Source organism: Homo sapiens, chromosome 3, assembly GCF_000001405.40.
Source record: "Homo sapiens chromosome 3, GRCh38.p14 Primary Assembly".
Taxonomy (NCBI): Eukaryota; Metazoa; Chordata; class Mammalia; order Primates; family Hominidae; genus Homo; species Homo sapiens.
In genome coordinates, this window is record NC_000003.12 from 160,822,142 (window position 1) to 160,847,270 (window position 25,129).

General features: G+C 36.9%; 1 protein-coding gene across 4 annotated transcripts in view; it reads left to right on the forward strand.

The window, feature by feature from the left end:
* PPM1L (protein phosphatase, Mg2+/Mn2+ dependent 1L) overlaps positions 1 to 25,129 on the forward strand; it is a 322,672-nt gene that overhangs the window by 65,911 nt on the left and 231,632 nt on the right. For 2 of the 4 annotated variants that reach the window (NM_001317912.2, NM_001317911.2), the window contains exon 1: positions 20,008 to 20,151. The exons of the other annotated variants lie outside the window; for them this stretch is intronic. Coding sequence is in view for 1 of the 2 variants with exons in the window: in NM_001317911.2 (NP_001304840.1) it covers positions 20,134 to 20,151 (18 nt within the window). In the remaining variant the exon portion in view is untranslated. Of the gene's footprint in view, positions 1 to 20,007; positions 20,152 to 25,129 lie in introns of those variants that run through there. 4 annotated transcript variants of the gene reach the window in all.

A 25,129-nucleotide genomic window follows, 5' to 3' on the forward strand; every position in this document is an offset into this window, starting at 1 on the left:
ATTAAGGATAAATTACCCAACATAATTGTCATTCTTTTGAAATATTTTCCTTTTAGCTTTTTTTTCTAAAAGCGGACTTCTTGGCAAATCACCAAATGAAATATTCTTTGTATGAAGAAATTAGTGTTTTTAAAAAGACAATATGAGATCATCCCATGATCCAGAACTCCATCATTTGAATAAACAAGATATCTTGTCTTCTCTTATCTTTGCTCCTTTAGTTATTACTGTACCTTATAGGACACCTCTCATGATTACGGTCCTTGAAGAAAAAGTTCCTAAGGATATTTTATGTTTTATATGTATTAAAATAAAAAATATGTATAACAAGAGTGTTTCTGGGTCCAAAATTTTGATATGTGTATTTGTTATTTAATATTATGTCATTGTCTTTAGGTTCTTTAAAAGTCTGTGTCTTTTAAAAAACATTGCATATTTATTTTTTGTAGATAAACTTCTTTCCTAACTCTGTTGAGCATTATGATAGTAAGTATACATGAGCGATATAGATTAGAAGGCATATTTCAATTCTGAAATATGGTCAATAGAAATGGTGAAAATATATTAGTAGCAATGACAACTAGCATGCATCCATTTGTAAGAATGTTGCAAATGGCTGGGCTGACCACAGGTGCTTTGTTACATTTATTTAACAAATAGTGGAGTATCTATTATGTTCAAGGCAGTGTCCTAGGCCCTGATGCATAAAATTGGATGTGAAATTAAGAAAAGTTGAATAAGAATATCTAAAAGGAAGAGCTAGTTAAACGACCATCTGTAAGAAAAATAAAATGAGATCAAAAGGGGAAAACATATAAACAAAAACCATGAAAGAAAAAAGCAATATGAAAAGTGAATCTTAGAAGACAAAGTAAAAAATAAAAGGTCCCTGCTCACAAAGAGATAGAACTATCTTCTGTTATCTCAAGAGGAAAAAAAAGAAGCCTGCTTTACATAAATTATTATGCATAATTTGTACAGGCACTGGACTCCTGGAAGGTTGCCAGGGTAGCTTTTGTTGAGATGAAATTCAGGGGACTTCTTATTTATAGGAAACTGGTTAATGTTGTTTCCTATTCTTTATTTACTTTCTTTGATTTTTCTTAATGTTCTTCTTGATCACTGATGACTAGAGTAGTGAGAGAATTTTCAAAAATAGTTGATATATGATATATTAGTACAAAATAATGTTAAGTTTCTTAATATATTGTGCAAATGTATAAATGATTTTTTTTTTTTTTTTGTATTTTTAGTAGAGATCGGGTTTCGCCATGTTGGCCAGGCTGGTCTCAAATTCCTGACCTCAAGTGATCTGCCCACTTTGGCCTCCCAAAGTGCTGGCATTACAGGCATGAACCACTATGCCCGGCCTAAATGATTATGTTTATACTTTTAATTTATCTTCATATATGATGATTCTTTATAAATTTCATTTTTCATTTTCCATATTTATCATTATTGGTATAGAAATGGCCAGAAATAATTACTATAATAATGCTAATTGTTACCATTTCTTAAACATTTGCCATATGCCAAATACGCTATGCTTTTTATATATTAGCTCATTTAATTCTCACAAGAATCCTATGAAGCAAGCGTATTGGTATCCCCCATTTATGGATGATGAAAGTGAGGCACAGAAAGATAATGTAATTTGTTTAAGAATCCTATAGCTACCAAGGCCAGGATTTAAATTCAGGCAGTCTTGACTCCAGAGCCCTTGACAAGAATGCTGTTCAGTATTGATGACTAGGTCTGATTTATTCTGTAAATTGGCTTATTTGAATCATTGTGGACATAATATCAAGAGACGGGAAGGACTCCTGCTTTTATTGTACATTTCATATCGAGACAAAGTTCTCACTGAATTTCAAAAAGAGATATAAATGTATGAGTGTGCAATAGATTGAATATTTGTATCCCCAAAATTCACATGTTGAACTCCAACCCCCAAGGTCACGGTATTTGGAGGCGGGACCCTTGGGACAAAATTAGATGCGGAGTGTGGAACTGTCATGAATGGGATTAGTGTGCCCTTCCTTAAAAGAAGAGGGTGGAGAGTTAGTTTGCTTTCTGCCATGAGAGGATAGAATGAGGAATAGGCAGTCTGCAACCTGGAAAAGAGTCCTAACCGAAACCTGACCATATTGGCTCCCCAGATCTTGGACTTCCAGCCACTAGAACTATGAGAAATCAATTTCTGTTGTGTGTTAGCTACCTGCCTATGGTACTTTGTTATAGCAGCCTGAACTAAGTGTGCTTATTAAAGTACTGAACCATAAGGGTGATGGTATTTTGAATACATGTTTTAGCACCATTAGTGTATGATTAGGGCAGGGAATTCCCTAATGAGGGAAAGGTCATAGGCTGGAATCCTGTGCGTGTCTGTTTGCTCATTCCGTGGCCTAAGTCTGATCTTTTAACGTGGCTCCTCACCTGACAGTTGCAGGCCCTTGGGCATGAGGGGTGCCATATGAGAGAATACGGATGGATCACCATACCTCCATCACTAGGATCATGGCCACAAATCAGAGCTCTGTCACTGATAACCTCTTTGGAAACTAATAGTTTTGCATCTGTACATACTATATGTATAGATTTATGTTTTTCAGAACACGAGCAGGAGATGGTTCTATTTTAGTATTATGAGACTAATTTTTTTTAAAACTGTATCTTCTAAGATTCATGCCTTATATATGTATGTACTTTTTTAAAGTCTCATATTTTTATACTCTCTTTCCTGCCTTGGGCCTCATTTTATTTCCTTCAGCTTAGTGTTTTTGCAATTCTTCCTTTAGGGATTTCTAAATATTCATATTTTAATTTGACTTTCCTTAATTTGGAATTCCATTTTATGCTCCAGAGCCTCAGACAGTGTCATAAATATGATGATGGCTCAAATGGTTAAACTATGTGCCAAAAAAATCTGTGGTCAGCTCAGCCACGTGTAACATCCTTATATCCTGATGTATGCTGGCTTTCTTTATTCCTGACACATCTTTTTAGAAAGGTAGACAGATAAATAGATAGATGGATAAACAGATAGCCATTTGCAATGGAGTAATTTCTATTTGTCTACATTTTGCAATTGAAATTTGAGTATTTGGGATCCTAAAATAGAACCGTAAGGTGTCAAAAATCTGTCAATAACAATATTATTAATAATATTAACAAATTGATCATGATGATTGATAAAAATTTTAGATCAAACCATATGAAATTGCCAATATTAGACCATTTTGACCTAAAAAAGTGTCATTTTCTTATGGTCTCACTTAAAATACTGTTAACAATAGCAGCTCACTTGCATTGATTGCTTACTATATCTGAGGACAATGCCAAGTGCTCCCATGCATTGCTGCATCCTCTGATCTCATGAGACAAGCATTGTTACCTCCCGCATGTTAAAGACAGTGGAACAGGTTACAGATGTTAAGTAACTTTTCCAAAGTCACTAAGGGCAACACTATTAACTAATGTTTAACTTTGTTATTATTTTGCCTGGCGGTGCTGATTAAATCAATAGAATATGACAAGATAAGAAGAAAGATAAGAATGACTTTACCGTTAAAACAGTGTCAGATTTGACAATTTTTTTGAGCCAGTGGTATTTGTAGTAATTTTAGCAACAAGAGATAAATGCACAAAGGCTCTTAGCTCCTTTTGGCTCTGGCTGATATTCGCGAACCCTCCACACTCATATCTAGTAACTGATATAAAATAGGGCAGAATGCAGCCAGCTTCAATTATATGAACAGGGATCATTGTCCCTTCTCATTCTGGTTGCTTTTGCCAATCTTTGAATTTTCTAGGCGAGAGTTTGCCTTCCTGCTCAGACTTTTGAATCATGGATGCTCCTCATTGCCTAGCTGATCCACATGGATCTGATCACTTTCTGCCTTGACTTGTTCTGCCTGCCAGACCCTGTGCTGCAAGGGGATGCTAGTTTTGTATCTCTTGGTTGGCCTGACTACCCAGGCCTTGGCATCACAGTCAGGATTCCATTATTTTCAGACACGACTTCTCTGTAGGTAAAAGTAATAGTCTTACCTCTGAGATGAGTACCATGGGAAGGCTTTCATGATAGACATTGCACTGATGTTTGGGTATTCAAACCTTAATTGTTAACAAAGAACATGATGAGTTGTAGTTTGGGCTCTAATATGGAATTTGGCCCATGGCTCAGAATGTGGTTTGGGGTCTTTGTTAGACCCTGGCTTAAAGATGCTATTTGTTTTAACTTTTTCTTTAATTATGCTTTCTAACATACTTAGAGGCCATTAGAGCAATTGATAAATTGAGTGTAGTAAATGAAATAAGATGTTTAGTAAAATTAATGAATATGGAGATATATTAATAGCAACAAAAATGTCACTGTTAAGCAGATGAATTCCATTCCTGATAGAATCTTTATTCAAAGTCCATTTAGATTTATTCTATTATTTTGTCTGTTAAAGTTCATTTTTTAAGGTAATGTGATTTTGGAGTAGGGAGTGAAACAAATTGTGGAAGTGTTATCTGCTGTTACCACTGTCTGGTTTTTCTTATTTAAAAGTACTATCTTTAAAAGAAAATGTACATTTACAACACTCATTGAAACAAATTTATTGGATAGTGGCAGCAGTCCCTGGATGAAAAACAGCATTGCAAAATTTGACTTAGTTTTATCACTACTAAGAATTTTTATTAGAACTGTACAGAATTATCAGCTATAAATAGAGATCAGCTAATTTGATGAAGAGGCTGTAGGTCTGCAGGTAATTGAACAAATATATCATGGTTTAAAAAAACACACATGAAATGACAGTAATAGTGAATAGGGCCAAGGAAAGAAAAGCAGGGGGAAAGAAAGGAGAAAATAAAATACAAAAGAACAATTATGGATTTGTGTGCGACAAAATGTGGTTCCAATACTGGCCTACTTAACACACTTTCTCACTAGGACACTGTTGTTCTTTCTCAAACTCTTTGTGCTTGGCTGCTTTCCTTCCCCATTTAGAAGCAGGATAGCCCACTCTCTCCCACTCTGGTCCTTTGACCAGAGACTAATGTTGCTGAGGTCGATAGGGAAGTAATGGAATTTTGCATCTGCAAATGTGATCAGCCTCTGCAAGCCTGGCTTCCAGCAGAAATCCTCCTGTTGTCCTCTGAGATACTTTTTTACTGGCTGATTTTTTAAAAAAATTAAAGAGCCTTCTTTAAATTGACCAATAATATTTCTTGTTACCTTCTCTTTTCCCCCTCTTGTAGGGGTGGCATGCGTTGATTTACAAAATGAACATTGGGAAAGTGTTTTGATATAAGTTTGTGTGTGTGTGTGTGTGTGTGTGTGTGTGTGTGTGTATGTATGTGTGTGTTTTAAGCTCCAAGGGTAAGAGTTACAGAACTGGGGAAAACGTGTGCATACTCTAATATCCAGAAAGACTGCTACTTTTAAAGATGACACTTGGAGAGTTAAGATAGAAAGTATAAAAACATGTGGCCAAATCATAATGCCTGACAAAGTGATAGCTATTAGACTGTGTTTTTATGCAGGCCTCTGCATACTCTATCTAATTGACTAATGACTGAAACAGATTCATGTGTGTAGAAACCAGATGGGTCAGTGGGTATATTAGGCCATTCTTGCATTGTGATAAAGGAATACTGGAGGCTAGGTAATTTATAAAGAAAGAGGTTTAATTGGCTTACAGTTCTACAGGCTGTATAAGCATGGCACTGCATCTGCTTGGCTTCTAGGGAGGCCTCATGGAACTTTTACTCAAGGCAGAAGGTGAGGCGGGAGCAGGCATGTCACAAAGTGAGAGAAAGAGCAAGAGAGGTAGGGGAGAGGCACCACACACTTTTAAACAACCAGATCTCACAAGAATTCACTTGCTATTTTGAGGAGAGTACCCAGCCTCCCTCATGAGGGATCCACCCTCATGACGCAAACACCTCCCACCAGGCCGCACCTCCAGCATTGGTGATTACATTTCAGCATGAGATTTGAGGGGTGGGGAGTGGGGAGTCATCCAAGCTCTCAGTAGGTTAATGCTTCTTGGTGCTATCTGTGTAAGGATAGTGCTTAAGCATCTTTACAAATAGCAGGTATTAAGCTACTTTACCTGCCACTTTACCATGTATGTATTCCATGCCTTGCTTGACCATATTTACCAAACCTTAAAGTCATGACAGCTGATCTAAGAATAGGGCTATGGTGTTTATATGGACAGTGTGACAGTGTTTAGAATTGGTACTATCCTATGGAATTCATACACTGAGTAGGCATTCAACAAGTCCATATTGAATGCTTACAATATACCAGGCATTAGGTGGGTGCTAAGGATGCAGTGGTGACAAAATAGGAAAAATCCCTTATTCTGTAAAACAGAGAGATAGACAATAAGTAAGTAAAAAGCAGTGGAGGTTGATAATGTTAGGTACTAGGGAGTAAGGCATAAAAAGGGGCTAGCAAGTATTGCTGGGGGTGGGTAGAGACTGCAGGTTTTGGTAGGAAGTGAGCGTCATTCACACCTGGGACACATGGTCATGGTACCACCCATATGTTCTGCCCAGGCACAGCTCTTGCGTCTCCTGCATTATTTCCTTAGACTCCATAACCTGCTCAGACCTCAAGAAAAGAGAACCTTTCAGCATATAGACATAGGTAGAGCCACTAAAAGCTAAACCAGAGCAAAACACCCCAAACACCCTTTATTTATAATAGGTTGCCAAAAATCAGCCAAAACTAAGTAGCAAATATCCAAATATTCTGAGAAAATGCATAATTTTTAAAATAAAAACTCCTAATTCAAACATTTCCACCTGGATCTCTGTACCTCCAACAGGACAGCCATTCTTAGTTAAGGAGACCAATGATTACAAGTAAGCAATAATTTCAGGGCAAGGAAATCACACAGTGAGAACATGATACATGTCGTCATTGGCACAAGGAAGAACAAGCAGTGGAAGGCTTTGGTCTCGGTATTCCAGAACGTGCCCTGTACTTGCTGCTTGCCTCTGCCTGTTGTTTCCCCTACCCCCTCCTTGGGTTTCCTTTACCTGGAATGCCCTCCTCCTTGTTTTTGTTTAGCAAAACTCCACCCTTGATAAAAAAAAAAAAAACCTAGCCTTTTATGTCTGTTTCTGTGGTATATGGCACCAATGAATACTCAATAAATGTGTAATATGTCAATGAGAGAATCGGATGAAACAAGGGAGCACAACTGGCATATACCTACTTCATTTCTCTGTCCACAAATAGCTGTCAGAAGTGACATTTCCAGGCTTTGTCCCATTTCTGACTTAAACACTCCCTCTTTTCACACTCTTCTGATTAAAACAAAGCAAAACTGTGGTTAAGGAGGCTGCTAGACAACTCACTCAACTGCCAGAGAGGGAGGCTCTTTTGCGTTCATGTTTTTGAGTGGACATCAGATACAATTTACTCTTTTCTCATCCACCTTTGAAACGTGGCTGATTTTCCCTTATCAGGGCTTTCTGTTTCCTTCTTGCCTCACTAACTCCCTTCTCATCCTGCAGGTAGACAGGCTGGAACAGGATTTCATTTGTAGCCTGTCAGCTCTTCTTGTCAGCTGGCAGAGATATGGTTGAGCATTAAGAGGGGTTGGGAGGTAAAGTTATTAAGGGAGCAGCAGCTTTGGTTTATCAGGAGGTGGGAGGTGGGGGATGAATACACAGATATTTTCCAGGTCATTAAAGAGAGCAAAAATCCTGAGCTTTTGTCCCATTGGCATGCCTTTCCTGGCCTGTTCTCTAACACATTAGGGTGTCCTTCACACATGCTGCACCTCAACTTGCAAAGGTACAGCCTGGCAGCTGCGTCTCAGCCATGGGAAACAAAGTGGATTGGTCTGTCACATAAACAGGGCTGAAATCTTTAGGGCAGTTGAGAAAACAAGAAGAAATCCCAAAGCCTTGGTATGATGAATCTTGGCCTTGTGAGCTGGCTTTGTTCTCTGCTTAGACATTTCTTTGGGTGTAGTGGTTGTAAAAACAAAACCTAAGGATTTTCTATTGTTACCATCCTTCTTATCATCCTTATAGTCATTGTTGTAGCTACTATTATGGAATGCCAACCCTGAACCAACTGTGGACCCTGTGCTTTACATGGATTAGCTCATTTAATCCACTAATAATCTTACCAAGGAAGGGTTGACCCTGAGCTTTTAACCATAATCTAGTACTACATCAGAAAGAAAAAGCATGTATATAGTTCCATCATGGTGAAAATGTATTAGTAGCAGTGACAACTAGCATGCATCCTAGTGGAGTCATTTGTTTGAGGTAGGTTAAAGCCGTGAAGGGAAGCCATTTGTAAACCGGAGTATTTTACGTTATTCCCACCGTACCCTGAAAATTTAGGATTAATTTTTCTAAATGGATTATGGAAGTTTGGATTAATGGAAGAGAAACAAGTTAAATCATAGTTATGCTTTGTTGCTCTAAAATCTGAGGATTTTCAATTTTTTGGCAAATTTTATGGTTTCAAGATTCCTGTGAGATGATAGGTCAGAGTCTATCCTCAGTCTACCATTGCACGTGCTGCAGTGGAGAAAACTATGACCTAAAAATTGTACTCAAAGCTTTCATTTTTCTGTTGAATATTGGTGTTATGTTTTCTCTTGCAATTTTAAGACTACTTTAAATAGTTTAAAAATAGTTTCATATGCTACTTATTCATACTTCGCATGAATAAGATTACAGCAGTAGTAGACTTAAGAGTATTTAAAAACTATTTAAAGCAGCTTTCTAATTGTCCACTTTAGCACAGATTGTAAATCAGCAAAAACATTTTCTGAATTCCATGCCAGGAACTCTGTTAGGTGTTGGGGATGGAATTCAGCTGAACAGTACCAACTGCAATCTGCCCATACCTTGGACAGCACCCAAGGGGGTTTAATATTGGATGCATTGGAATGCTCTTGTTTATACATGTTTCATAGTTGCTAGGGAGAACCCAGGTTTTTCACTGGTGGACACATATTTAAAAGTCAATTTATATATGGTCTGACTTAATTTTTTAACTAAAAATCAGTGATGAGTTGGATGTTCCCAACATGAAGAAATGATAAATGTTTGAGATGATGGATATGCTAATTACCCTGATCTGATCATTATACATGATATGTATCAAAATATCAAAAAGAAATTAGTGATGAGTTGGGACAAGGGAATATGAAGTGTGATTTGAATATGAGCTGATGGCAGTAGAGGCTTTGTTCATATATATTTTATTTTTGTCAGTAACCCTTTTTAATGCCCCAGTATCATGATCTAATTTGAGTGGAATTAAGCTTAAACAGTTCAAAATTATATAGTTAAGACATTCTGTTTCAAATATTATTCCAAGTTAATCTAAGTCAACTAGCATGACCTCTGCTACACAAAGGCTGGTACAAAAAAGATTTCGAGGAGCAGGTGGCCAGGGCCCTCATGGGAGCTAATTAGATGTCTCTTCCTGTTCAGCCCTGACTACTGGGTCCCCCTAAGCCTCCCCACCGAATAATCTGTTAGGCCGTCTTCTAGAGTCTGAAAGGCTGTTTGTGAGGAGTTCAGGATTTGTGTGAAACTGTGAGCAGAGTTGTAAGAAATTTAGATTTGAGTTTCAACCATGTCCTATTTAGCACCTGTGTTATCTTAAGGAATCTTCAGCTCTCTGAGATTTGGTTTTCTCATTAGTAAAATGTATATGATATGCCTGACATGTTCCAGGCATTGCTGGCTATCTCTCTTCAGTCCCTAGTAATCCCCAGCTGAGGAATGGTGCTAGAGCAGGTACCCTGTATTGTTCTACAAGTAGTATTAATGAAGTTAATGATAGTCACTGGTTTTTGTATTGACTGCAGTTTGGAATATAGTATTTTCATTACAAGTCAGGTGTAAATTCAATCTACATTTACTTATTGAATACCATCTACGTGGTAGGCTTAGTAGAAGAGATTAGAGATGTAAAGATGAGTATGTGTTCATTTTATTCAGGGAGCTCACAGTTTATTAAGGAAAGGGGATGTTGAGTTAACTAACTAGAGTATGGTGAAATGTTTTACTCCCTGAGTGGATACACTGCTATGTACAATGGCAGTGGAGGAGAAGAAACAGGACTCTGCTTGGTGGGATGGGGAACTCAGGCCAGGCAAGGCTTCTCAGAGATGTCATTTAGCTGGGCCTTGGGATATGATGGAGTTCAGAGAAAGAAGGTGGAATGGAAGGGGATTCTAGGTGGAGGTGATAGCCTGAGGACAGGCATGGAGCTGAGAGAGTGCTTGGTATACTCTTGGAGTTATGGGGAATCTACTGTGGCTGGATTTTAAGGTATTTGGGATTGTACAGGTGAGACTGGAAATGTAGTTTGAGACATACCTTGTTCTTGTTTTTAATTTTATGAGTCCCAAAAACAATGTTAGTGCATTTTTTTAATTTTGAAATGATTGTAAATTCACAGGAAGTTGCAGAAATGGCAGATAGAGTCTCTTGAACCCTTCACTAAGCTTCCCCCAGTGATAACGTTCTGAATAATTTCAATAAAAGATTAAAACTAGATATTAGCATTGGTGCAATAATGTTAACTACATTGCAGAATTTACATTTACTTTTTACCAGTATTTTATTATTAATTTTTATTTTTATTTTAAGTTCCAAGATACATGTGCAGGATATGCAGGTTTGTTACATATGTAAATGTGTGTCATGATGGTTTGCTGCACCTATCAACCCATCCCCTAGATATTAAGCCCAGCATGCATTAGCTCTTTTTCCTAATGCTCTCCCTCCCTCGACCCCACCCCATGACAGGCCCCAGTGTGTGTTGTTCCCCTCCCTGTGTCCATGTGTTCTCATTGTTCAGCTCCCACTTATAAGTGAGAACATGCGGTGTTTGGTTTTCTGTTCCTGTGTTAGTTTGCTGAAGATAATGTCTTCCAGCTTCATCCATGTCCCTGCAAAGGACATTATCTCATTCATTTTAATGGCTGCATAGTATTCCATGGTGTGTATGTACCACATTTTCTTTATCCAGTCTATCATTGGTGGACATTTACGTTGATTGCATGTCTTTGCTATTGTGAATAGTGCTGCAATGAACATAAGTATGCATGTATCTTTGTAATAGAATGATTTAAATTCCTTTGGGTATATACCCAGTAATGGGATTGCTGGGTCAAATGGTATTTCTAGGTATTTGAGGTTCTAGGTATTTGAGGAATCACCACACCATCTTCCACGATGGTTGAACTAATTTACATTCCCACCAACAGTGTAAAAGCGTTCCTATTTCTCCACAATCTCACCAGCATCTGTTGTTTTTTGACTTTTTAATAATCACTATTCTGACTGGCGTGAGATGGTATCTCATTGTGGTTTTGATTTGCATTTCTCTAATGATCAGTGATGTTGAGCTTTTTTTCAAATGTGTATTGGCTGCATAAATGTCTTCTTTTGAGAAATGTCTGTTCATGTCCCTTGCCCACTTTTTAATGGGGTTTTTTTTTCTTGTAAATTTGTTTAAGTTCCTATATATTCTGGATATTAGACCTTTGTTAGGTAGATAGATTGCAAACATTTTCTCCCATTCTTTAGGTTTCCTGTTTGCTCTGATGATAGTTTCTTTTGCTGTGCAGAAGCTATTTAGTTTAATTAGATCTCATTTGTCAATTTTTTTTTTGTTGCAATTGCTTTTGGTGATTTTGTCTTGAAATCTTTGCCTATGCCTATGTCCTGAATGGTATTGCCCAGATTTTCTTCTAGGGTTTTTATAGTTTTGGGATTTATACTTAAGTCTTTAACCCATCTTGAGGTAATTTTTGTATAAGGTGTAAGGAAGGGGTCCAGTGTCCAGTTACAAATTTCTGCATATGGCTAGCAGTTCTCCCAGGAATTTTTTTTTTTTTTTTTTTTTTGAGACGGAGTCTTGCTGTGTAGCCTAGGCTGGAGTGCAGTGGCACAATCTCGGTTCACTGCAAGCTCCGCCTCCTGGGTTCACGCCATTCTCCTGCCTCAGCCTCCCAAGTAGCTGGGACTACAGGCACCCACCATCATGCCCAGATAATTTTTTGTATTTTTAGTAGAGATGGGGTTTCACTGTGTTAGCCAGGGTGATCTCGATCTCCTGACCTCGTGATCTGCCCGCCTTGGCCTCCCAAAGTGCTGGGATTACAGGTATGAGCCACCGTGCCCGGCCTTAAATAAGGAATTCTTTCCCCATTGCTTGTTTTTGTCAGGTTTGTCAAAGATCAGATGGTTGTAGAAGTGCCGTCTTATTTCTGAGTTCTCTTTTCTGTTCCATTGGTCTATGTTTTACCAGTTTTTACATGCATTTGTGTATGTGTATGTGTGTGTGTGTGTGTGTGTGTGTGTGTGTGTGTGTGTGTGGTTGTGTGTAGTTCCATCACCACAAAGGAACTTCCTTGTACTCTCCATTTGTATTCATATCCCCTATCTTCCTGGAATCCACTAATCTTTTCTCCATCTATATAGTTTTGTCATTTTGAGGGTGTTATTAAGTGCAATCATATAGTATGCACTTAATACTCAATATGTAACTTTTGAGATTGACTCTTTTGCCTCCACTAAACAGAATGTCCTTGAGATCCATGTAAGTTTTCTCATGTATCAATAGCTTGTTCCTTTTCATTTCCGTGTAGTATTCCATTGTATGAATGTGCCATAGTATGTTTAACCATTCACCTATTGAGTGACATTTGGGATATTTCTAGTGTTGGGTTATTATGAATAATGCTGTCATGAACATTGATGTGCAGGTTTAGTGTCGACATAGGTTTTTTTTCCTCTGGGATAAATGCACAAAAGAACAATTGTCAGGTCATAAGGTAAGTAGCGTTTAGTCTTAGGAGAAACTGACAACCTATTACTACTACTACTACTATTACTACTACTACTTCTTCTTCTTCTTCTTCTTCTTCTTCTTCTTCTTCTTCTTCTTCTTTCTTTTTTCTTTCTTCTTTCTTCCTTCTTCTTTCTTCTTTCTTCCTTCTTCCTTTTTCTTCCTTTTTTTTTTTTTTTTTTTTCAGAATGGGGTTTTGAGTGTTTGGGAGGAGTACCAAATCCATGATGTGAAGCTATTTGTAGTTTGTTTTAGACATGGATTTGCCTCCTGCTCTGAAAACGCATTGTATAGTGGTCAGTTCCTTAGCTCTTAAGCAATGAGTATCCACATCTCATTGTGTTTTCAGTATTCTCTAAAGTGACTCTTGCTTCCTTACTGAGGCTGTGATCTGTAAGAGCCAGTCATAGGGTTAAGCTATAAAGTATTTTTAGAATAACTAAATTTTTTTACTTGTGTTTCTAAAATAACATACATAGCTCACCCCAATATTTCATGTAAATTCCCTTGTTTCCTCCCTATTCAGCTGCCCTCACATCTATAGCTTTTATTCCCCTTCTCTAAGATACTCCACCATCATCCGTGCATTTTTATTTCTCCTCATCTGCTGTACCTTCTTACCAACCGATCTCTTATCTTGTCCACTCCTCTCTACCACAGACTTCTCCTAAGAATTTCCTCTTCTCATTTTTGCCTTTTTATTGTATTGACCATGTTGCCATCCCTAGCCCTACCACTTGGCCGATTCTGCATCATAGAAACTAGCTTAGCAGCATATTATCATGGATGTGAATATATTTTTGAGTAGGGAATATGATCAAGAGTTCTATAGTATCTTTCCAAAAACATTTTTTAGAGACAAATCTTTTCTCCCAAATATTCATTTAGTTTGGAACATCTCTGCTCTTACTGTAAATCACAGTGACATTATCCAGGGGGTATCTAGGGATACCCCCTGGATAGTCTGCTTTTTGATCACATCCCATGACTTCTTATCCTTCTCTGTTCTGGCCAGAAATCAATGTGTCCATTTTTTTCTAGGCCAGCTAATATTTGAGGATTGAAATATCTTTTCAGGTATCTTATTATTTGGAAATACATGATAGGCTCTAACTATGACAGATAGGAATCTGTTGCTCTCAAGCAGTCATCCTAAGGAAACTAAGCTCTGAAGGCTTCTGGAAGTATTTTTAAGAAGTAGGAAGCTGCTCTTGAATTTATTGCTTTTCTTTGGAAGGAAAGGAAGAGAGAGTATTTTTAAGAAGTAGGAAGTATTTTTAAGAAGTAGGAAGCTGCTCTTGAATTTATTACTTTTCTTTGGAAGGAAAGGAAGAGAGAGAGAGAGAGAGAGAGAGAGAAAGAGAGAGAGAGACAGACAGGTTAGCAGTGTGAATAGTGGGCAGGGGACTTCAGAGCCTTCCGCTCTGTTACTGATCTTGTGGCTCTCTAGCAAGAAGGCTCTTGTGCTTTTGAGCAAGTCATTTTACCTGATTTCCATCATCTGTAAAATGTAGCAGCTCAATTGAATTTTTCAGTCTCTAAAATTTTGGTATCACTGACTCACAGATACAGAGAAAGTAAATGAGTTGCCTAAAGTTACGTGATTTACTCATGGCGGAGCCAGCACTCATCCCCCTCCCCCATCTAGGTCCCTGTAGTTCCTGCCTTGTATATTGGTAGTAGATTATCTGAGTGTAGTTTGGACACTTTCTGTGTTTTCTGAGTGGACTCCTCATTAATCCATCTTTAGTCAATCAAGCACTCTTGGTTATTACTTAAAGTGATAACATTAGGTTCTTTAGTTGGTTTCCTGTTTTTGACCTGTTGGTGAATTTTTACCAATCTCATGTGACAAAGATCGTGGAAGCTTTAAAAAATGTTCTCTAAAATCTTAATGCAAAGTGGCATTCTCCTTCCCTTCTTAGAGACATTAGCTCCACTGGAGGAAAAAGGCACAAATGCCTATTTCATCTTAAAAATCAATTATCTTGCCTTACAACATAAAGCAGTATTTTACACATTGAATTATTTGAGTTCCACCTTGACATTTTTTCTTCTTTGATTGCCCCCCTGCTGTTATTTTCTTAACATTTTTTCTTTAAATGGACCTACTTTATTTTACTTAAGTGTATTTTCAAAATTTGATAACTGTGAACTCACAGGTTGATTTATTATGTTGTTTCCAATTCACTTTAAAGTAATAAACTATATATAAAAAAAGCTTTCTTGTACCATCTGAAACCTTCTCATGTGTATATACAGTACTTTGGGAAACTTTGCATAAGACCATCTGGGTCTACTGGTTGAATGGTAAGAGAAGGGAGTAATAAAAAAATAAGAAACAAAAATGATACTGTTATAAGCTTATAAGCCATGTGGGTAATAAATTAGAATGGAAACATGAGTTTGTAAAGACAGATAAATGAATTTCCTTGACTTCAAGCCACTGTTATTGTCAAGATAAAGTTGTGCATGTAGAGAAGGAAGTCTAACAAAATGACATTCCATTCTGGGGCTTAAATGCTTGCCCTTCCTTCTTTTTTATGACTCTTGCTTTATTGAATAGCACTGGGGTCATAAGGCCCCAGTAGATGTAAATGCTATGCTGTACATCTTGTCAGGAAGGCCAGCCTTTGTGTCTGCGGGAGGAATGCTTGTCCTTGTTGCAAGAAGGTAAAACAGTCAGAAGCAAATGAGATCAGATTTAGATTGCCAAGCCTCGGGTGGGACCCTTGGAGGTCAGAACACAGACAAAAGGAAACAGGAAAGCATGTTTAAGAGTAAGAGAAGGGTAGGGCTAGCTTCGTGGTCATGTAACCATGTGAACTTGTGGTTGCACAAGTTCCCATGCCTAGAAGGGCCCTGAACTTGGTTTAATGCTCTGCTGTCACTGTCTTGAAATTCTTATTAATTTTTAAATGAGGAAGCTTGTATTTTTATTTTGTACTGGGCCCTGCAAATTATGTAGCCAGCCCTTGGTGTGGGGTAGACAAATGCTTATAGAAGACTTTGTGGTTTAGGTTCATGGGGTAGAACTGGAAGAGTGAGAACTAGATAGTAAGTTGCAAAAAAGGAAAAAGTTTCAGCTACTAACTGGTGGTGTCTCTTCTGATTGACCTTAGTTCATAGATTAAATAATTTAACATTGGACTCCAGGATTCTTTTTGCCTTAAACTCCTAGGCTGGCTGACTAACTTCCTTCCATGGTTATGAAGTAGTAGAGGGAATGGCAAATTATATCTGGAGAACATGGATAATGAAATGAATAGATCTCTGAGAACTTGAAAAAATTATGTAGTAAGTTTGTTCCTGATGAGTTAAAGTGTAAAACCAACTCATAGTGGATTAAGTAGGGGCTTGCATGTAAATATCCACAAAGGGTGGCTATAAGACAACAGAGAGTGATGGGCAGTAGAGGTGATGGTGGGCACCCAAGGAAACATAGCATGTTTAAAGGAAAATCTGTATTGAATTTCAGCCTGTTATTGCCAAGTTATGTTCAGTCTGTTATTGTTCCTTGTAGCTCAAATCCTTCCAGGTTTTTTAGAAGTAGCTGGAAATCTGGATTTTTGACTGTAATATTTTTCAATTAAAGAAAAACAACTATGTAGACTATGTCTGAGTTGAATTCATTTTAATCCTTAAGTGGACTTTTTAAAAACCTCTTTTCTAAAGATTAATATAAGAAGTGACCATTCAAATTACTGTTTTAGGGAGGGAGTCATAGCAATGTGAGGCCATCTCTAGTAAGGAGATGGAATTAGAGTAAGAGTTGCCAGTGGATACTGAGGATTATGATACAGAAGGAGCTCTAAATTTTCTATATTGGAGGGTCTTGGGGGTTAAAAACAGGCTTGTCTTTGAGGACTTATGCTATGGCTTGAATGTGTCCCCAAATATCATGTATTGGAAACTTAATACCCAAATTTATATGTTGATGGCATTTGGAAGTGAGTCCTTTGGGAGATAATTAGGATTAGATAAGGTCATCAGGGTAGGCCTCCCATGATGGGACTGGTAGCTTTATAAGAAGAGGAAGACAGACCTACACACTACTTGCCTTCTCACCATGAGATGCCCTCTGCTCTGTTATGACATGGCAAGAAGGCCCTCACCAGATGCTGGTGCTATGCTCTTTGACTTCCCAGCCTCCAGAACCATTATCTAAATAAATCTTTATTGTTTATAAATTACCCAGTCTGTGGTAATTGGTTATAGTGACAGAAAACAGACTAAGACAACTTATTTGTAATTATGTTTGCGTAGCAAACTCACTGTTTTTACTTAGATTATATGACGTAGTCATAAGAAATAGCCAACCTTTCTAGTACATTTTTTCCCACACCTTAGATAAGATTGAAAAACCAGCAATTTCCCATCTCTAGGAGTGGGTGGGGAACTCTTAGAGCTGCTGGATTGTAAGGGGAAGTAAAAAAAAAGTTCTCACACCCCAGACCAGTCTTTTACCCACCACTCTTATGGTTTATTTTTAAAACAAGGTCATCATTATTATGGATACATCAGGCTTTCTTAGCCTGATATCATTAAACATGCAATTCATTTTGTGATTTCCCCTGAGTGTGTGCTAACCTTCTGAATATGATTTGGCTTCCCAACTGGATTGGTCAGAGGGAGGGAATGGGTAGGTCCTGCAGTTTAGAATATAGGTGTTTCTATGACTATTTATTGTTAATTATAACTTAATAAATTGACATTCTAGCATTAAACAGCAGTCTTGTGACTGTGGTCAGTGAACCTGCCAGTGAAATTTCGAATCTCTTTGGTCAGCTGACACACTCAGTTTTGAACTTGGGCAGCTCAGAACCAGATCCTAGACTATAGCAAACTGGTCAAAGTAATGAATGAAATTTTGGGAGCCCCGTTGGAAAGCCTTTCCCTAGGTGACATAAAAAATATATCTCGAATGTATGCATTTTTCCTATTTGAATTTCTTTAGTGATAGAGTTGAGACATACGGTTTATAAAAGTCATGGAGTAGGGAGGGATAGCCCCATGGAAGTGTTAATAGGATTTCAGATAATTTTGGGAAATGCTGGTTTAAGTGAAGGTAACTGATTTCTTTATGAGGACTTTTCCAGAACATTTATTCTTCTAATGAGTGATCCAGTAGGAACAAATGGTAAGTGGTGTTTCTCAACCTCATTTGCTAATGGTACTTTTAAAATGTTTCCTTGGCAGCACTTTTGGAAAGCATCGTGAAATATTTACCAAGTGCAGCCTTAAGAATACAATGAAATTGAGATATTTCTGGAATTTTCCTGGTGTCTAGTCAGTTTTGGGAAATTTGTGCTGAACCCCAGTTTGCATTGGGTTTCATAAGACCTACCAGAGAGTTCTGGAATCCACAGGAATGACCATTTGCTCACTAGGTATCTGTATTAGTGAGAGTTCTTCAGAGAAACAGAACCAATAGGATGTAGATACAGATGTACATATAGATATACGAGCTGAAATTTATTAGCGGGATTGGCTCACACAATTATGAAGGCCGAGAAGTCCTACAGTGGACGGCATGCAAGCTGAAGAACCCAGGAAGCCAGTGGCTTGGCTTAGTTCAAGTCCAAAGGCCTGAGAACCAAGGCCTGGTGTAACTCTCAATCTATGGTCAAAGACCTGACAACCTGGGGATGCTGCTGGCACAAGTCTCCAAAGGCTGGAGAACCTGGAGTTCTTATGTCCATGGGTAGAAGAAGATGGTATTCTATCTCCAGGGGAGAGAGAGAGAGAGAGAGAGAAGGAGAGAGAGAAAGAAGGAGAGAGAGAGAGAAAGAGAGAGAGAGAGGAGAGAGAGAGAGAAAGAGAGAGAAGGAGAGAGAGAGAGAAAGAGAAAGAACATATTTGCCTTTCTTTCTATCTGGGCTGTCAGCTGATTGGATGGTGCCCACCCACTTTGGGTGACGGAGGATCTTCCTTATTGAGTCGACTGATTCAAATGTCAAATCTCTTCTGGAAACACTTTCACAGACATGTGCAGAAATAATACTTTGCCAGCTCTCTGGGTATCCCTTAATCTAGTCAAGTTGACACCTAAAAGTAATCATTACAATACATGAACCTGGAATTGTCCCAGTGTGGACCCAAGGCAGAAATGGAATTTAGTAATCTGGGGTTGGGAATTTGGATGTACATATTGTGAGTCATCTTGGAATTGCCAGAGTCCAAGACTTTTTTTTTTTATCTATATATATTTTCTCCTGATAGCTTACTTCTTAAAAGGGAACTTCCCAGGTTGAATATGCAATGCTTATTAAGACCCATTCCAGAACCCGGCTGTGTTCTCACAGATAGGACTCAATGAGCACAATGGTTAAATCTTTATCTTTACAGGGATTTTTTTTTTTTTCAGAGGATTGGAGATTAGATTATAGAGTAATATGGTTTTATAGACATTCATGTTACTTTCTTTGTTTCTAGAATAAGGAAAAGGAATGCAGAGCTACATTTCTTAATATGAAATGGTGATTGCCAGTACAGCCCAACTGTATATTTTCAGTTTGTAATGACAACATTAGGAGGAAAATTGATTAGTACTTTTAAAACAGTAGGAAAATTATTTCTGCCCAAACATTGATTAGCCTTTGAATGGACTTTCTTATAATTCTTTTCTTCCACAGACTGCAGGGTGCAGCACAGTCATATTTTAGGCAGAGTCAAGCAGAGAAACCTACTTGCCGCTATTAAACTTATTACTGCCTTTTCCAGTGGGTGCAAATAACTTTGTCTCCAGTAGTTACACTCTCCTGGCTTGATAACACATAAGGACTTCTTTGTTTATTTTGATTAAAGAGACTAAAGATACTTTTGTCTTATGTGAAATGTGAATACAGTGAAATATTGAAATTTTTTGATGACATATATTCCTCCTTTTGGCTTATAAATGTCAACTTGTTTAGCTTCCTTGCATGAGTGCTTTAAAATTTATTAGCTGAAGCTCAGGTAATATTAATTTGTTCCTGGTTAAATGTTATATAAAATATAGGAATAAAGAAAACTGAGGTCCTTACCCTCAGGTAACTTATATATTTGAGGAGTTAAGACATAGAAATAAGATAAATAGGAGAGTTTATGATGAGCCCCAGATGAGTGGGTTGGAATATTACATAACCAATACAGGGTTTCAGAAGGAGAGAGATTTTGTGTGCGTGCATCCTGAAATAGTTGGGGAGGACTCATGCAGGAGCTGGAACTTGGAGATAGGAAGAATTCATGCAGGTGGAAGAGGGTAGGAGGGATGCTGGTGCCATTAGCAGAGAGGGCTAGACCAGAACATGCCTGCTTTTTCAACAGTGAGTAGATCTGTTTGGCTCTAATAGAGGACTCATGATGGGGGGTAATGAATAATGGGAAATAAAACTAGAGAGGTAGGTTGAATTCAAATTGGGAGGGGCTTTGAATGCCAGGCAAGGGAATTTGGACTTTATTCTGTAGAAAATGGATGAACAGTGAAGGTTCTTAGCCAGGAATAAGAAGAAAATTGAAGAAATTGCTTTGTAGTTTAGTTAGAGCAGAAGCAGCGTACAGCTCTGAACCCAAGTGCCTTAGATGGAAGATAAGGGCAAAAAGAACTGTATGCAAGCTCTGTCTTCACTTCTGATGAGATGCAGGAAGAAGTTAGCTGCTTAATTCTCTTTATTTTTCCTTCTCTCATTTAAGGCTTGTATTAAATCTCTTTTTCAGTCTTAAAATGCATTAATTCAAATTTGACCTTCCTTACTGTCTGATAGTTGAATATCCAAAGCTATTTTCAGTTGTTCCAGATTGTCACAGATTTTGATGTCTAGGTGCCAACTGGAAGGGCCAAACCTGGCCTGCGGAGGATTGTTTTTAAAATCTGATTCTAAATTAAGCACTTTGAGACAGAAGAAATGAGATGTGGCCTAGTTCTAACTCACCATTTAGCTAAATGTATATGTATTTTTTTCTCTGCCTAAATATTTGTCTTATTCTTTTAGACCCAAAAATCTCAGAGCCAAGAATATTTAGATTCCCTTTCACTCTTTCACTTTTTCCAATAGTTTTTGGCTTTTACTATTCTTAATAAGTTACACTTATAAAGGAATGTCTCCAAATCTAATTCTTTTTTTTAAAAAAAATTGTTTTAAATTCCTGGCCCTCCTCCTATCCTGTATCTCACAAATTATTAAAATGGAATTGAATTTATTTCTTGAAGGAGAAGCTACTGATAGGATTTAGACTTTTAAATATCTAAAATTAAGTTCTAAACAATAGTGTTCCTATTAGCAATAGAAATTGTGGTTATAGAGAAACATAGTATAGTGTAAGCTTTAGAGCACGCCTGTCCAACCCGCGGTCCATGTGCCATATGCAGCCCAGGACGGCTTTGAATGAGGCCCAACAAAAATTCGTAAACTTTCTTAAAACATTATGATTTTTTTTTTGTGTGTGTATGGCAATTCTTTTATATATATATATATATATATATATATATATATATATATATATGTTTTTTTTAATTGTACTTTAAGTTCTAGGGTACATGTGCACAACGTGCAGGTTTGTTACATATGTATACATGTGCCATGTTGGTGTGCTGCACCCATTAACTCGTCATTTACATTAGGTATATCTCCTAATGCTATGCCTCCCCTCTCCCCCCACACCACAACAGGCCCCGGTGTGTGATGTTCCCCTTCCTGTGTCCAAGTGTTCTCATTGTTCAGTTCCCCTAGTTCAACCATTGTGGAAGACAGTGTGGCGATTCCTCAGGGATCTAGAACTAGAAATACCATTTGACCCAGTCATCCCATTACTGGGTATATACCCAAAGGATTATAAATCATGCTGCTATAAAGACACATGCACACGTATGTTTATTGCGGCACTATTCACAATAGCAAAGACTTGGAACTAACCCAAATGTCCAACAATGATAGACTGGATTAAGAAAATGTGGTACATATACACCATGGAATACTATGCAGCCATAAAAAGTATTTGGCAATTCTTAAGAAAAGCTCATCAGCTATTGTTAATGTAGTTTATGTGTAACTCAAGCCAATTATTCTTCCATGTGGCCCAGAGAAGCCAAAAGACTGGATACCCCTGCTTTTGAGCCAGAAAAACCTGTTTTAAAATTCTCCCTCTGCCACTCACCACTTAGGTGATCTGAATGTATTACTGTGACTACACATCCTTATTTGGAATTCCATGGGTAGAACTTAAAGCAAGTTCTTTTCTCTTTACATAAGTGGACTCTGGTCTAATACTTACAGTGATAGAGTATGGGTAAATACACAAATAGACTTTTAAGGGTATCCTTTAGCCTTCAGACTTTCTGAGACCCGCTGAGATACAGAAGAGAAGAAGTGGAGAGATTCCATGGGCAAAAAGGGACTTGAGAGTTATGGCTCCTCAAGATCTAGGTTCTTATTCTCACTGAGCCTCGGCTTCTTCATCTCTAAAATGGAGAATATTTAACTTGTAGAGATATTATGAAGGTAAAAATAGATAATTTAGCACAATGCTATATATATATGTTTTAAATACTTGTCTTTTGCCAGATACCGGTTTGCAAATCTTTTCTTGCCATCTATGGATTATGTTTCCATCCTCTTCACATGTCTTCTGCAGAGGAAAAGTTTTTAATCTTAATGATTTACAACTTGTTAGTTTTTCCTTTTCCTGGATTATGCTTTCAATGTCATGTCTGAGAACTGTTTGTCTAGCCCTAGGTTATGAAAATTTTTTCTATGTTTTTTAAAGAGCCTTATTGAAATATAATTAACATACTGTACAATTCACCCATATAAAGTGTACAATTCAATAGTTTTTAGTTAGGTTCACAGAGTTGTGCAACTGTCATTCTGATAAGTTTTAGAACATTTTCATCACCCCAAGCAGAAGCTTTGTACCCATTAGCAATTATGCTCTATTTCTCCCCATCTTCCTTGTCCCCCCAACCTAGGCAAACACTAATCTACTTTCTGTCTCTGTAGATTTGCCTATTCTGGACATTTTATATAAATAGAATCTGTGGTCTTTTGTCACTGGCTTCTTTCACTTGAACAGTGTTTTCAAAGTTCATCCATGTTGTAGCATGTATCAGTATTTCATTCCTTTTCATTGCAGAATAATATTCCATTGTATTAATATGAATATATAAGATTTTGTTTATCTATTCATTAGTTTATGGACATTTGATTGTTCCCACTTTTTGGCTACTATGAATAATGCTGCTATGAACATTTGTGTACAATATGTGTATGGACATATGTTTCTTATATATCCAATATGTACATAAAAAGAATATGGTACATATATTGGTGTATGGTTGGTAGAAATGCCTATTCAGAGTCTTTGTCCATTTTTTGTTTTAATCTTTTTATCATTGAATTGTAAGAGTTTTAAAAGATATTCTGGATATAAGTCGTTTATTAGATATATGATTTGCAAATGTTTTTTCCATTCTTTGGGTTGTGTTTTCATCTTCTTGATGATATCATTTGTAGCACAAAGTTTTAGATTCCATTGAAGCTCAATTTCTCTATTTATTTATTATTATTATTTTTGGTCTCTTGTGTGCTGTTGTATCTAAGAATCCATTGCCTAAGCCAAGGTCACAAATTTACTCCAATGTTTTCTTTTAAAAGTTGTATAGTTTTTGCTGATACATTTAAGCCCTATTATACATTTTGACTTTTGTGTATGATGTAAAAATTTCTTATGCTTCCTTCTAAAAATTATATAGGTTTGTGTTTTTGTGTTTTACATTTAAATCTGCGATCCATTTAAGTTAATTTTTGTATAATGTATGTCAATTATGCCAGTATCATTTGTTGAATGTAAGCTAAATTTTTAGGTAAAAATTTAAGTGCCCTATATACAGTCAGACTTCAAGCTGGTTTTTCTTCAGAGAAGGAAATACATTTGAGAAGGGATCTTCCACTTTATTTAGACTTTAAAGAAGAAAAATAAATAGAAAGTAGAAATATTAAGAAACTACGAAGTAGGTGTACCACCTCCATTTTTCCAATTGCAAAAAGAAGATAGTTTTTATAAAGGTGCTTCATAATACCACTTAAAAGATTTGCAAATAGAATAGTATTTAATGAGATTATCTTCCAATAAAGAAAATGGAAAGGTTTCTCACTGAAGGTGAAAACACATATATTATTTTAAAAGTTCTGAAGTCTTCAAACTAAAATAATGTACTATAACAAAAAAACTTGGTTTTTCATATTTCAAGTCTTTTTGTCTGGATCTTTGTTCATTCATGGCTTTTATTAGGTTTGCAAACAGTTGGTGGACATGTGGTGAAGTCACACCTCATTAACAGAATATAAATTTTCCATGTGGTTTTGTTGCCTCTTTGCAGTTATTTTGCTCTAAGACAAACTTCTGTTTCATAAAAGTTGGGCCTTTCTGTCTTGGGAAATCTCTGCAGATACTTCATATTTGTTTTAAATTACACATCGTCTCTTAAGTTTTCCAGTCATGCTTTATACTTCATTGTGTGCCTTAAAAATGTTGTATTATTAGGATCCTCACCTTGAAAGATTGTTTCAAAAAATTGTTATTACATTGAAATAAGTCTTTTAAAGTACAACAGTGTCCTGTTATCTAGATTAGATGGATAACTGAGGATTAGAATATGTATGGAAGATCAGTCACCAGTTAAATTGGTTGGTTAGTTATAAAGTATATGTTGACAGTGTGCATAGTGCTTTGTGATACTCTTGAAAAAAATTTTAATTGACATATAATTTTATAATTAGCATACCATAAACTTCACCTTTTAAAGTGTACAAGTTAGTGCTTCTTTTTAATATGTTCACAAAGTTGTGCAACTGTTACCCCTATCTAATTCTACATTGTTATTTGTTAATTGCTTATTATTTATTTATTTTTTACTAGTTTTTTATGTGTAGCTTACTTCAAAATATATTTGAGGTAATTTACAGTAAGAGACTCATTATAACAGGGCCACTATGATATAAGAGGTCAAAAACAGTAGTAGAAAGGAAAGAATACCAAAAACTCAAACTGAAATTAATGTAGTATTGCTATTAGGCAAAGCATATAAATCCAGAACTCTGAATCTGGTAGCATTTTTTTCTTCTATCATGGTGCAAAATTTATTTCTCCTAAGAACTTGCTTTTCTTAAACAAGTCAAATCACACTGTTTCTTCCCTCTTTAAAGTTCCCTCTTGATTCTCACAGCCAAAAGTCATGTTTCATATTAATGTTTGAGACTTATTCAAGGTCACATATATTTGGGGGGCAAACATGGCATATCTTCTTGT